Genomic DNA, 13,066 nt, shown 5'->3' on the forward strand with positions numbered 1-13,066 from the left:
GTCTTTGTATTTTTATTAGAGATAGGATTTCCCCATATTGACCAGGGTGATCTCAAATCCTGACCTCAAGTGATCCACCCGCCTCAGCCTCCCAAAGTGCTGGGATTACAAGCATGAGCTACTGCACCTGGCCAGTTACTTGGTTTTATCTCCTGCTGGAGACTGGCCTAGCTGTAGAATTTCAGAACTGAAAAAGACCAGAGATCCCCTGGTCCCACCGTCTGCTTGCTAGCCTACTGCTGACTGGCTTGCCTTGGCTGGCCCAGGTAGTAAGCAGTGGCGCCGAGCCTTGCTTGTCACCACGGTGCTAGGAAATCCAGTTGACTGTCATCTTCCGTGAGGGCTAAGCTTTCAGGGCTCTCGTTTCGAAAGCATTGCCTCTTTGATCCCCTTATTTTCTTTCTCCTGTGTTTCACCACCGGTTCTCATTTGGCCTGTCCGGTGGGAACGGGCTGCTGGCTGCATTTGGTCCTCAGGGGATTGTGCAGCAAATGGCTCAGGTCTCCCAGCACCCTGTGCAGGTCTCTTCCCAGACACCACAATGACCCTCAGGTTTTGTTCTTCCAGGTTGATCCAATGCTCACCCCAGAAGAGCGTCACCTGAACAAGATGCAGAACCATGGCTATGAGAACCCCACCTACAAATACCTGGAGCAGATGCAGATTTAGGTGGCAGGGAGCGCGGCAGCCCTGGCGGAGGGATGCAGGTGGGCCGGAAGATCCCACGATTCCGATCGACTGCCAAGCAGCAGCCGCTGCCAGGGGCTGCGTCTGACATCCTGACCTCCTGGACTGTAGGACTATATAAAGTACTACTGTAGAACTGCAATTTCCATTCTTTTAAATGGGTGAAAAATGGTAATATAACAATATATGATATATAAACCTTAAATGAAAAAAATGATCTATTGCAGATATTTGATGTAGTTTTCTTTTTTAAATTAATCAGAAACCCCACTTCCATTGTATTGTCTGACACATGCTCTCAATATATAATAAATGGGAAATGTCGATTTTCAATAATAGACTTATATGCAGGCTGTCGTTCCGGTTATGTTGTGTAAGTCAACTCTTCAGCCTCATTCACTGTCCTGGCTTTTATTTAAAGAAAAAAAAGGCAGTATTCCCTTTTTAAATGAGCTTTCAGGAAGTTGCTGAGAAATGGGGTGGAATAGGGAACTGTAATGGCCACTGAAGCACGTGAGAGACCCTCGCAAAATGATGTGAAAGGACCAGTTTCTTGAAGTCCAGTGTTTCCACGGCTGGATACCTGTGTGTCTCCATAAAAGTCCTGTCACCAAGGACGTTAAAGGCATTTTATTCCAGCGTCTTCTAGAGAGCTTAGTGTATACAGATGAGGGTGTCCGCTGCTGCTTTCCTTCGGAATCCAGTGCTTCCACAGAGATTAGCCTGTAGCTTATATTTGACATTCTTCACTGTCTGTTGTTTACCTACCGTAGCTTTTTACCGTTCACTTCCCCTTCCAACTATGTCCAGATGTGCAGGCTCCTCCTCTCTGGACTTTCTCCAAAGGCACTGACCCTCGGCCTCTACTTTGTCCCCTCACCTCCACCCCCTCCTGTCACCGGCCTTGTGACATTCACTCAGAGAAGACCACACCAAGGAGGCGGCCGCTGGCCCAGGAGAGAACACGGGGAGGTTTGTTTGTGTGAAAGGAAAGTAGTCCAGGCTGTCCCTGAAACTGAGTCTGTGGACACTGTGGAAAGCTTTGAACAATTGTGTTTTCGTCACAGGAGTCTTTGTAATGCTTGTACAGTTGATGTCGATGCTCACTGCTTCTGCTTTTTCTTTCTTTTTATTTTAAATCTGAAGGTTCTGGTAACCTGTGGTGTATTTTTATTTTCCTGTGACTGTTTTTGTTTTGTTTTTTTCCTTTTTCCTCCCCTTTGACCCTATTCATGTCTCTACCCACTATGCACAGATTAAACTTCACCTACAAACTCCTTAATATGATCTGTGGAGAATGTACACAGTTTAAACACATCAATAAATACTTTAACTTCCACCGAGACTGCTCGTTTCACTGACTGCGGCATTGATCTGCGTGATGGTCCTACCCCCTTCCTCCAGGAGGGTGATAACTTCGTTCCACGAAGGACCCCAGCTGCACCTCACAGGCGGAAATACGTCTGCTCAAGCTGTGACTCAAGGCTTCCAGCGCCGTTTCGCATTTAGAAAGCAAAGTAAGAGGGAACATCTGCACAGAGCATTTGTCTGGCAAAATTTAGGCTACTGATATTTATTAATATGAGACTTCTTAATGCTACTGGGAACAATGAGTAGGGCTTGTGGCTGAATTTTCAGAGGAATGCTTGCAGCTTCCATTTGCTTAAATAACCTGACACTGGGAGGCCCTGTCACCTCACTGATGGGGGTGTTTGGTTTGTTGCCTTGGCAACTGCTTAGAGGGCTTTCTGCCTGGGCCCAGTTTTATCTACTGAGCTAAGATCTTTTTAATGCCCAGCTACAGGGAAGAGGGTCAATTCAGGGGTAAATCTCAGTCCCTACCCTAGTTTAATGCCAGTTTAAATATACAGAGTAGTTATCAAGGTAATGTCATATATAGCTGTGTGTAGATGTACATGTGTGTACATACGTGACGAATCTTCCCTAGGATACTGGACTAGGGAGTGTTTTATGAGCCAGGAAAGCATTTTGTGAGCCAGGTGAACAGGTTGGTTCTTTATAATGATTACCACTTCCCCATCAGCCTCTCCCTTCTGCCTGCATTGGTCACTGAAGTTGCTGCCAGGAAAGCCCTGAAGAAGAGGGAACTTTTTTGTTTTTTGAAACCAGTTTCTGCTGGAGTGCTCTGAAGAGTGTTATCACCTGACCCTCTGTAGTATCAGCTGGAAACTGATCTCAGGGTCATTCTGATTTCAAAGCTAACAGACCAGCTTCATTGATTTTAGTGCCTGCCATGTACTAGCTGCCTCCAAGTCAGAGGCGCATTTTTGTCTTTTTTTCTTTTTTTTTGAGACAGAGTCTGTTGCCCAGGCTGGAGTGCAGGGGCGCGATCTCAGCTCACTGCAACCTCTGCCTCATAGGTTCAAGCAATTCTGTCTCAGCCTCCCGAGTAGCTGGGACTACAGGCGTGCACCACCATGCCTGGCTAATTTTTTTTTGTATTTTTGGTAGAGACAGGGTTTCACCACGTTGGCCAGGCTGGTCTCGAACTCCTGACCTCATGATCCACTCGCCTCGGCCTCTCAATGTGCTGGGATTACAGGCGTGAGCCACCATGCCCAGCTCCATTTAGTCTTAACCTTTTGAGGCATTCCCCTCTTCCAGAAATGACGCTGAGGTCTTCCACGGAGCAGTAAGGGGTGGAGCAGAGATGCAAACCCAGCTCGGTGGGAGTTCTTCCTTTATTCAGTGTACTTCAGTCCTGGGGGAGGCAGGGGCGGGGGCATGGCAGCCAATACCCATCCAGCTGCTCAGCTCTCGAGTCTCTTACCTGTTACTCACATTCCTGTTGCTGATGGGTTAGAGAGGAGTTTGGGGCTGGTGAAAGTGCAGTGGTTTCTATTTACACGTTCATTACCCAAATGGGGTCATTGCAGAGACAGTCGGGGTTAGCTGAGAACTGGGGAGGCCTGAGAGATGACGTGGAAATGAATGAGAGGCAGGGCTGCCAGGCGGCCTCACCCTAGGCAGGCTCCACTCTGCTCCCTGGTGGCTCACCCACCTCCCGGGAACTGAGAGAAGCTCCTGGTTTCTGCCTTGGTGACTCAGCCTTGACCTCTGGGGAATGTGGCCCTGCCCACCTTGCGGCCAGCCTCAGGTGCTGGTGCTGACAGGTGCGAAGGTCCTCCTACCTGCCTGTCTGCTTTCAGTTGCAAATCAGAGCTCAGCAGCTGAGGTTTGAGCCAGGACATCAGATGCCCTGATCTCTGGTTTCTGTTGCTGTGACAACTGACAAAGCTCTTTAGGAGGTACAGATGAGGATGTAATGAGTCCCTAAGTTTTGGAGAGGCCCAAGGGTCCACTATCATAGGAGCAGGTGAAAAAGTATTTAAAAAAGGAACATGCTGTCTTGCGGTACTTTGAAGTCATGGACATAGACAGAATGGATACAGGGAACTGGAAGGGACCTTATGACTCCTGATTATTTCACAGCTGAAACATGGCCACAGGGTCACACGCTGTTAGGGGCAGAGCCAAATGCTGTGGTTATGTACAATGGACTCTTTTCTGGGGCAAAGGGTAAAGCGGTCCTTATAAGACAAGGAAATGGGTGTCAGCTGGTATCTTTCCTGTTACCGCCTATGAAATAAGGGGAAGTCGTGTCTGTTCTGCCCTCTGTGGTTGCATACTTTTGACAGGCAGTAGCAACCATGGACTTGGTTAGTGCATTTCCACTGTGGAGCAGCCCAGATACCCAGAGAATGTGACAGGAGACATGAGTTCCCCCGCCCCCGGCCCCCAGAATCCTTGAAATGGATGGGACATGACTTTTTTTTTTTTTTTTTTGAGACAGAGTCTCACTCTGTCGCCCAGGCTGGAGTGCAGTGGCGCAATCTTGGCTCACTGCAACCTCCACCTCCCGGGTTCAAGCAATTTCTCCTGCTTCAGCCTCCTGAGTAGCTGGGACTACAAGCGCGTGCCACGACACCTGACTAATTTTTTGTATTTTTAGTAGAGATGGAGTTTCACCGTATTAGCCAGGATGGTCTCAATCTCCTGACTTTGTGATCTGCCCGCCTCGGCATCCCAAAGTGCTGGGATTACAGGTGTGAGCCACCGCGCCTGGCTGGGGGCATGACATTCTTGAGGAATCTGTCAGAGATCTGTGGCCAAGATACAAGATAACCCAGATCTGATTGATTTTTTTTTTTTTTTTTTGAGACGGAACCTTGCTCTGTTGCCCAGGCTGGAGTACAGTGACGGCTCACTGCAACCTCAGCCTCCCGGGTTCAAGTGATTCTCGTGCCTCAGCCTCCAGAGTAGCTGGGATTACAGGCGTGCACCACCACACCTGGCTAATTTTTGTGTTTTTTAGTAGAGACAAGGTTTCACCATGTTGGCCAGGCTGGTCTGGAACTGCTGACCTCAAGTGATCCACCCACCTCAGCTTTGCAAGTGCTGGGATTAAGGCATAAACCACTGTGCCCAGCTTGGTTGAACTTAAAATTTTGAAGTCCCTGCCTCTTTCCGATTAGAGCAGTGCCCTCCATCAATAAAACATTTATAGTGTGTACTATATATACAGTTATTTTAAACTATGTATAGTTATTTTAAAATTATCTGCATGTATTATAAATAGAAACTTGGAAGGCATAAAAAAGATGAAATACTTTTTCCAAATTTTATTTAATAACAGTACAAAGCCTTTTGGGTCCAGTCAAATATTGCTAGTTTTAGTGCAGGCAAAGTGATTGCTTTCATTCTCTCCTTCCTCTCTCCTAATGGAAGTCCATATCGTTGATTCAGATTTTCTTAGTGTTTACCTACTGTCTTCTATTTTTTTTTTCTTTTTTTTCTGAGACGGAGTTTAGCTCTTGTTGCCGAGGCTGGAGTGCAATGGTGCAATCTCGGCTCACCACAACCTCCGCCTCCCGGGTTCAAACGATTCTCCTGCTTCAGCCTCCCGAGTAGCTGGGATTACAGACATGCGCCACCAGGCCTGGCTAATTTTGTATTTTTAGTAGAGACGGGGTTTCTCCATGTTGGTCAGGCTGGTCTACAAAGTCCTGACCTCAGGTGATCCACCTGCCTCAGCCTCCCAAAGTGCTGGGATTACAGGTGTGAGCCACTGCGCCCAGCCCTGTCTTCTGTCTTCTCCCAATAAATGACATTGTATTTAGGCTTCTCTGGACAGTGAAGCTTTCTCAGACTTTCCTTGTTTTGATGATCTTGACAGTTTTGAGGAGTTATTGGTCAGGCATTTCGTAGGATGTCCCACTATGGGGTTTTGTCTGATGTTTTTCTCATGGTAATGCATGGGTTATGTGTTATTAGGAGGAAGACCACAGAGGTAAGGTGTCCTCCTATTCCATCAAGGGTACACACTGTCAACATGACTTACTGCTGTCGATGTTGACCTTGACCCCTGGCTGAGGTGGTGCTTGTCAGGTTGTCTAAAGTTAATCTTCCCCTCCTCGCACTGTCACACTGCACCACGTGCAGCCCGAACTTAAGGGATGGGAGTTACGCTCTCCTGTATCTTATTTTTGTAATCGTGTTTTAGTACTTTGAAATAAAGCAATTAGAAAATCTGGTTCGAAGGTCAGTTTGTTGCAATACTATATTTAATGGCTATCAAAACTGAAAGAGTTCTTGATTGTGGTGATAATTTCACAGGTGTAGATATGTGTCAAAACTTACCAGATTGGACACTTTCAATATGTGCAGTCAATTATACCTCAATCAAGCTGCTTTTAGTTTAGTTTTGTTTTCTGCTGTGTGTGTGTGTGTGTGTGTGACGGAGTCTCGCTCTGTCGCCCAGGCTGGCTCACTGCAGCCTCCGCCTCCTGGGTTCAAGAGATTCTCCTGCCTCAGCCTCCCTCGTGGCTGAGACTACAGGTGCCCACCACCACACCTGGCTAATTTTTGTACTTTTGGTAGAGATGGGGTTTCCGCATGTTGGCCAGGCTGGTCTCAAACTTCTGATCTCAAGTGATCCACTTGCCTCAACCTCCCAAAGTGCTGGGACTACAGGCGTGAGCCATTGCTCCTGGCAAGAAAAAAAAATATTTGTATTTCGTGAGCAGAAAAATCTACGTATATTACACTATGAGTGGAGCTACATTAGAAACATCTGTGCTTTCATCCAAACCTCCCATACTCTAAAGGTGGTTTTTTACTTGTTTCTTCAAATCTGTGTATCTTCTAACAGTATTTACTGACAGAAGAATGGACTATAGTGTTGCCATATCCTTTTCTGTGGTTTTTGTTTGTTTGTTTTGAGACGGAGTCTCACTCTGTCGCCCAGGCTGGAGTGCAGTAGCGCGATCTCGGCTCACCGCAACCTCTGCCTCCCAGGTTCAAGCAATTCTTCTGCCTCAGCCTCCCGAGTAGCTGGGACAACAGGCACCCACCATCACGCCTAGCTAATTTTTATATTTTTAGTGGAGACGGGGGTTTCACCATATTGGCCAGGCTGGTCTCAAACTCCTGACCTCGTGATCTGTCTGCCTCGGCCTCCCAAAGTGCTGGGATTACAGGCGTGAGCCACTGTGCCCAGCCTTCTGTGTATTATTTCAGCCACTTTTCCTGTGGCAAGAAAAAGTGATTCCACCATGGTTTATGGCTTTTTGCTTTTAGCATTTAATGAAGAAATCTCAAGCTGTGCATTTATCATTTCTTAATGAAACTTTGTAAATTACTAAATCGAGTATTGCATGACTTTAAGCACTGAAGAGATTGTAGTGGCTTGTCTTCATGTACTGGGCATTTAAAGTTTAAGTCTCATTAATCACATTGGCCTCATAATATTAGTTAATACCTCAAGACCCAACATACATTTACAGTGAAGAATATCACTATTAATAGTAAATGTAAATCCATGGTCTTAATAATTGAAACTGTTTGGGGAATGACTTCTTAGATGGTAAATGTTTTCAGCTGATGACTGAGCTCAGAATGTAAACAAGGGAATCAGCGGACTTTGATTTTAATGAAACCTGTGTATACCCCACGCGACACCCTGGGCCAGGGAGCAGGCTGGGCCAGAACTACACATATTAGATGGAAGGAGGGATGAACTTGGATGTGCTGATGATGTGGACAGGGCAGAGGAAGTCAGAGAAACACAGAGCATCAAACAAGTGGCCCACAGTGAAATGCATTTCCAGAACACACTCCCAGACTCGACTCACATTTCCGTGCATCTGCATTTACCCAGTTTAGGGACACTCCAGTGTCTCTTGAACAACCCTCTTAGATTTGGAGACTTTCCATCTTTTGAGTCCTGCCTACCTCAGGCAGAAACCAGAACTCTCCTTCTCAGCTCCCTTGTAGGTAGGGCACAGACATGTAACTTAGGATCTAATGAGATGCACTCACAAGAGACTTACTCAAGAGGCCACAAAGAAAGGACGCAGGCACTGCAGTGAGCCCACTTTCTGGTGGGATGCAGGTGGAAGCGTCCTGCTCCTGGGACGGCAGCGGCACTGGTGAGTGGGTCTGGGCTCAGGGGATGAGCTCTGATGGTATCAGCTTGGGCGGGAGCAGTGGGGCTGTCCCTGCAGCCTTGTGGTGTGTCTGGGGCCTTGTTTCTGGCTCTGTTTCCTCCTCTCTCAGCTCTCTGGCCCTCCTAGACATTCTGTGAACCGCCTAACAATTTTAAAATAATTTCCTTTTTTTCCCCTCAAATTAGCTATTCTATTGTTCGTGAGCTGCAAGTTGACAAAAATTCCACTAAGGGCCAACTCACTGAACTCTAATGGGAAAGTTGTACCTGTTGCCTTCATTTGATAAAGGAGACAGAGTTTTTTTTAAAAAAAGTGATGTGAGAACAAGAATTATCAGTGTGAAAAAGAAAATACAGATCTCAGCTCGAATAAGTCAGTACTCTGTGGTCCTAAATTAGAATTGGGAGAATCAATATGAACATGATGGGTGTTTTATCTCTTTCACAAAGTTCTGGCTTTGTCTACCAAAAGCCCCAGAAACAAAGACCAGCTAGAAATGAACATCCCCTTAGAGGATCACTTTTCACTAAAAGCTATTAGGTTGTCTTAAAGAAACAGCTGATTGCATGTGTGGGCAGGAAAAGTACAAGTTGAAACTGCAACATCATACCAGAAAATAAACAAAAAATCAAAGATGACAAGAATTGGGTCAAAAGGACTCAGAGCTGACTTAAAGAAGGTCCCAATGGCCAAAGAGGGTACACTTTGAACATCAGTAAGAATAAAAACAGCAATGAACCCAGACATATCAAATATGTTTGATACCAAGAGTTCATAATAATACAAAAACAAGCAAAAAACAAGTGGTTTGTGAAAGCAGTTTGTGAAACCCCGTCTCCACTAAAAATACAAAAATTAGCCAGGCGTGATGGTGGGTGCCTGTTGTCCCAGCTACTCGGGAGGCTAAGGCAGGAGAATCCCTTAAACCCAGGAAGTGGAGGTTGCAGTGAGCAGAGTTAGTGCCATTGCACTCCAACCTGGGCGACAGAGCAAGACTCCATCTGAAAATGAATAAATAAACAAATACATAGAGACTCGGGCATTTATCCTTCCTTTCCTATACAAACCTTACCACTGGGTAACCAAATAGATGATGAGAAATTTCACTTTCTAGAAGTATTCCAGAAAGTAAATAAGCAAGGAATGAAACATTGAAATCTTGCCGTTACCATTTCCTCACAAATTTAGAATTCAAGCACAGAACTCACAATATGAAACAACCAGACACGTCACCTGTTGAAGAACACACCAGCCCCTGTGAAGTCATCTTCCCTCCCGAAAAAGCAAAGCTTTATCTGCTGGCGCCTCTGGATATGACAGTTTGCGGGGAATACAAAGGACAAGGAACCCATGAGATAGACTACACTATGAGAACACAATCAGCAAAATCCTGACTGCAGGAAAGTCTCCAGAACAAATGATCTGGTTTCTTCAGTAAATAAACTGTAAAGGATGGTGAAAAAGATGAAGTGGGAACCTAAAAATTAAAAGTGACCAGTTGGGCATGGTGGCTCATGCCTGTAATCCCAGCACTTTGGGAGGCTGAAGCGGGTGGATCACTTGAGGTCAGGAGTTCGAGACCAGCCTGGCCAACATAGTGAAACCCATCTCTACTAAAATACAAAAATTAGCCAGGTGTGGTGGCATGTGCCTGTAATACCAGCTACTCAGGAGGCTGAGGCAGGAGAATTGCTTGAACCCAGGGGGCAGAGGTTGCAGTGAGCTGAGATTGTGCCATTGCACTCCAGCTTGGGTGATAGAGCCAAACTCCATCTCAAAATAAAATAAATAAAATAAAATAAAATAAAATAAAATTTAAATTTAAATTGGCCAGTCACGGTGGCTCACACCTGTAATCCCAGCACTTTGGGAGGCTTAGGCGGGCGAATCACGAGGTCAGAAGTTCGAGACCAGCCTGGCCAGCATGGTGAAATCCCGTCTCTACTAAAAATACAAAAAATTAGCCAGGTATGGTGGCGGGCGCATGTAATCCCAGCTACTTGGGAGGCTGAGGCAGGATAATTGCTTGAACCCGGGAGGTGGAGGTTGCAGTGAGCTGAGGTTGTACCACTGCGCTCCAGCCTGGGTGACAGAGCGAAACTCCATCGCAAAAAAAAAAAAAAAAAAAATTAAAATTAAAATGACCTAAAAGACATTGAAAACAAAAAGCAGGCAGAAAGTAAACTATGGTGCAAAGAGAGTCAAGCCTGGATTGTAAAACCATATAAAGAAAAACAAGGAGATGGGCATGGTGGCTCACACCTATAATCCCAGCGCTTTGAGAGGCTGAGGCGAGAGGATTGCTTGAGCCCAGGAGTTCAAGACCAGCCTGGGCCACATGGCCAGACCCCTTACCACAGGGAGAAAAAAATCTTTCTATACAAGATGGCCAAAAAAAACCCCAAAAAGTTAGCTGGGCGTGGTGGCGCACACCTGTGGTCCCAGTAACTCTGGAGGCTGAGGTGGGAGCACTGCTTGAGCCTGAGAGGTCGAGGCTGCATTGAGCCCGTGACTGTGCCATTGCACTCCAGCCTGGGCAACAGAGAGAGACCATCTCAAAAAACAAACAAACAGCCGGGTGCGGTGGCTCATGCCTGTAATCCCACCCAGCACTTTGAGAGGCCGAGGTGGGCCGATCACGAGGTCAGGAGATCGAGACCATCCTGGCTAACACGGTGAAACCCCGTCTCTACTAAAAATACAAAAAATTAGCCATGCGTGGTGGCAGGTGCCTGTAGTCCCAGCTACTCAGGAGGCTGAGGCAGGAGAATGGTGTGAACCTGGGAGGCGGAGCTTGCAGTGAGCCGAGATCGCGCCACTGCACTCAAGCCTGGGTGACAGAGCAAGACTCTGTCTCAAAACAAACAAACAAACAAAGCAAAACAAAAAACCAAGAAAGTAACCACCATCCATGTCAGTAGAGTGGTCACTCTTACTGGGGAGAGGAGGGATTGTTTTGGGAATGGGCCCATGGAGGGCTTGGCATGAGGGTTGGCAAGGTTCTATCTCTTCTCACATCTGGTCTTCTGTTTTCTTTTCTTTTCTTTTTTTTTTTTGAGAAGGAGTCTCGCTCTGTCGCCCAGGCTGGACTGCAGTGGTGCGATCTCAGCTCACTGCAACCTCCGCCTCCTGGGTTCAAGCAATTATCTACCTCAGTCTCCCGAGTAGCTGGGATTACAGGCACTCGCCACCACACCCAGCTAATTTTTTGTGTTTTTAGTAGTTTTGGTGTGAGCCACTGCGCCCAGACTCACATCTGGTCTTCTATGGAGTTGCCTTATAATAATCCAGTAAGCTGTATATTTGTTTTATGCTGATTTCTATATTTCCACCACATTTAACAATAAAAAAATTTGTGACAACAGTCCCGGCACGGTGGCTTACGCCTGTAATCCCAGCACTTTGGGAGGCCGAGGTGGGTGGATCACCTGAGGTCAGGAGTTCGAGACCAGCCTGACCAACATGGAGAAACCCTGTCTCTACTAAAAACACAAAATTAGCCAGGCGTGGTGGCAGGCACCTATAATCCCAGCTGCTTGGGAAGCTGAGGCAGGAGAATCGCTTGAACCTGGGAGGCAGAAGTTGCAGTGAGCTGAGATTGCACCATTGCACTCCAGCTTGGGCAACAAGAGCGAAACTCCGTCTCAAAAAAAAAAAAATTGTGAAAACATTTACTTGCATTTTTCCTTATTCATGTGGTCTTTGAATAATTTAACAAAGACTGGTTGAGTGCATGCTGGGGATGCTAACAGACACTGGTCCATGCCTTCAGGAGTTTTGCGCCTGGAGAGGAAACCATTCTCTGTAACCACAAGGCCTAGAGTGGAGCAGAGAGGAAGGAGAGCTTGCAGGGCTGTGTGTAGCCCACAGGAGAGATGATGGTGGCGTGGAATAGGGACACAGCAGGAGGGAAAAGGAGAATTAGACAGGTTCCAAACATGTTTTAAAGGTAGAACCAACTGATTGGTGATTTGTTTGTGTGTTTGTTGTTTGTGGGTGGGTGGGATAAGGAAAGGAGAGGTCAGTGATGTCTTCTAGAACTGGTTGACTAAATGGATGAGGAAGCCCTTTGCTAAGATAGCTGGATCCAGAGTAGCATAAACAAATGGGTGTTTGTGGCACACAAACCCGCTCTGCTGCTGCAAAAGGAGGGGTCATCTTCTCCCCTATATTCCTAGAACATCATCTTTTGTTTAGAGATGGGGTCTCACTTATGTTGCCCAGGCTGGAATACAGTGGCTATTCACAGGTGTGATCACAGCTCACTGAGGCCTCGAACTCCAGGGCTCAGAGATCTTCCTGCCTCAGCCTCCCGAGCAGCTGGAACCACAGGTGCCTGCCACAGAGCCTGGCCTGCTAGAGCGTCGTCTTTCATCTCAGAGCTGAATGAGCATCTTGCCCACAGAAGTGCTCAGTGCTGGCATTTGAATGCTATCCATATGCAATGCATCAGCTGCAAATTCAGATGAAGAGGAAGCCACGCAGAGGCCAAGCCCTTCCCCCTAGGACCGCTGTGCCGCACCAGCTCATGGAAGTGCAGGAGCCAGGAGGAAGCGTAGCCATCAACTATCACATCAGACCCATTTGGTTTAATCCTCATGAAATTATGATATGCTGGCCGGGCGTGGTGGGTCATACCTGTAATCCCAGCACTTTGGGAGGCCAAGGCGGGTGGATCACCTGAGGTCAGGAGTTCAAGACCAGCCTGGCCAACATGGAGAAACCCCATCTCTACTAAAAATACAAAAATTATCTGGGAGTGGTGGCACGCACCTGTGATCCCAGCTACTTGGAAGGCTGAGGCAGGAGAATCACTTGAACCTGGGTGGAGGTTGCAGTGAGCCGAGATCCGAGATTGTGCCATTACACTCTAGCCTGGGTGACAAGAGCAAAACTCTGTCTCAAAAAAA

At 46.8% G+C, this 13,066-nt stretch overlaps 1 protein-coding gene across 39 annotated transcripts in view, besides 3 other annotated features; it reads left to right on the forward strand.

Annotated features, from left to right (window-relative positions):
* APLP2 (amyloid beta precursor like protein 2) overlaps nt 1-2,026 on the forward strand; it is a 74,912-nt gene extending 72,886 nt beyond the window's left edge. For all 39 annotated transcript variants that reach the window (NR_168391.1, NR_168388.1, NR_168393.1 and 36 more), the window contains one exon: nt 568-2,026. Coding sequence is in view for 30 of the 39 variants with exons in the window: in NM_001382528.1 (NP_001369457.1) it covers nt 568-669 (102 nt within the window). In the remaining 9 variants the exon portion in view is untranslated. The remainder of the gene's footprint in view (nt 1-567) is intronic.
* Nucleotides 2,715-3,009: a silencer, noted in NCBI's record as "tiled region #10235; HepG2 Repressive DNase matched - State 5:Enh". NCBI's record gives its function as "represses a minimal TATA promoter and a strong SV40 promoter by Sharpr-MPRA in HepG2 cells {active_cell/tissue: HepG2}" and the evidence as "EXISTENCE:reporter gene assay evidence [ECO:0000049][PMID:27701403]".
* Nucleotides 3,080-4,279: an enhancer, noted in NCBI's record as "P300/CBP strongly-dependent group 1 enhancer chr11:130015754-130016953 (GRCh37/hg19 assembly coordinates)". NCBI's record gives its function as "activates an origin of replication core promoter dependent on BRD2, BRD4, P300/CBP, MED14 and CDK7 cofactors, with strong dependence on P300/CBP, by STARR-seq in HCT116 cells {active_cell/tissue: HCT116}" and the evidence as "EXISTENCE:reporter gene assay evidence [ECO:0000049][PMID:35650434]".
* Nucleotides 4,067-4,116: an enhancer, noted in NCBI's record as "active region_5751". NCBI's record gives its function as "activates an Ori minimal core promoter by ATAC-STARR-seq in GM12878 lymphoblastoid cells {active_cell/tissue: GM12878}" and the evidence as "EXISTENCE:reporter gene assay evidence [ECO:0000049][PMID:35858748]".

Source organism: Homo sapiens, chromosome 11 (genome assembly GCF_000001405.40).
Source record: "Homo sapiens chromosome 11, GRCh38.p14 Primary Assembly".
In the NCBI taxonomy this organism is placed as follows: Eukaryota; Metazoa; Chordata; class Mammalia; order Primates; family Hominidae; genus Homo; species Homo sapiens.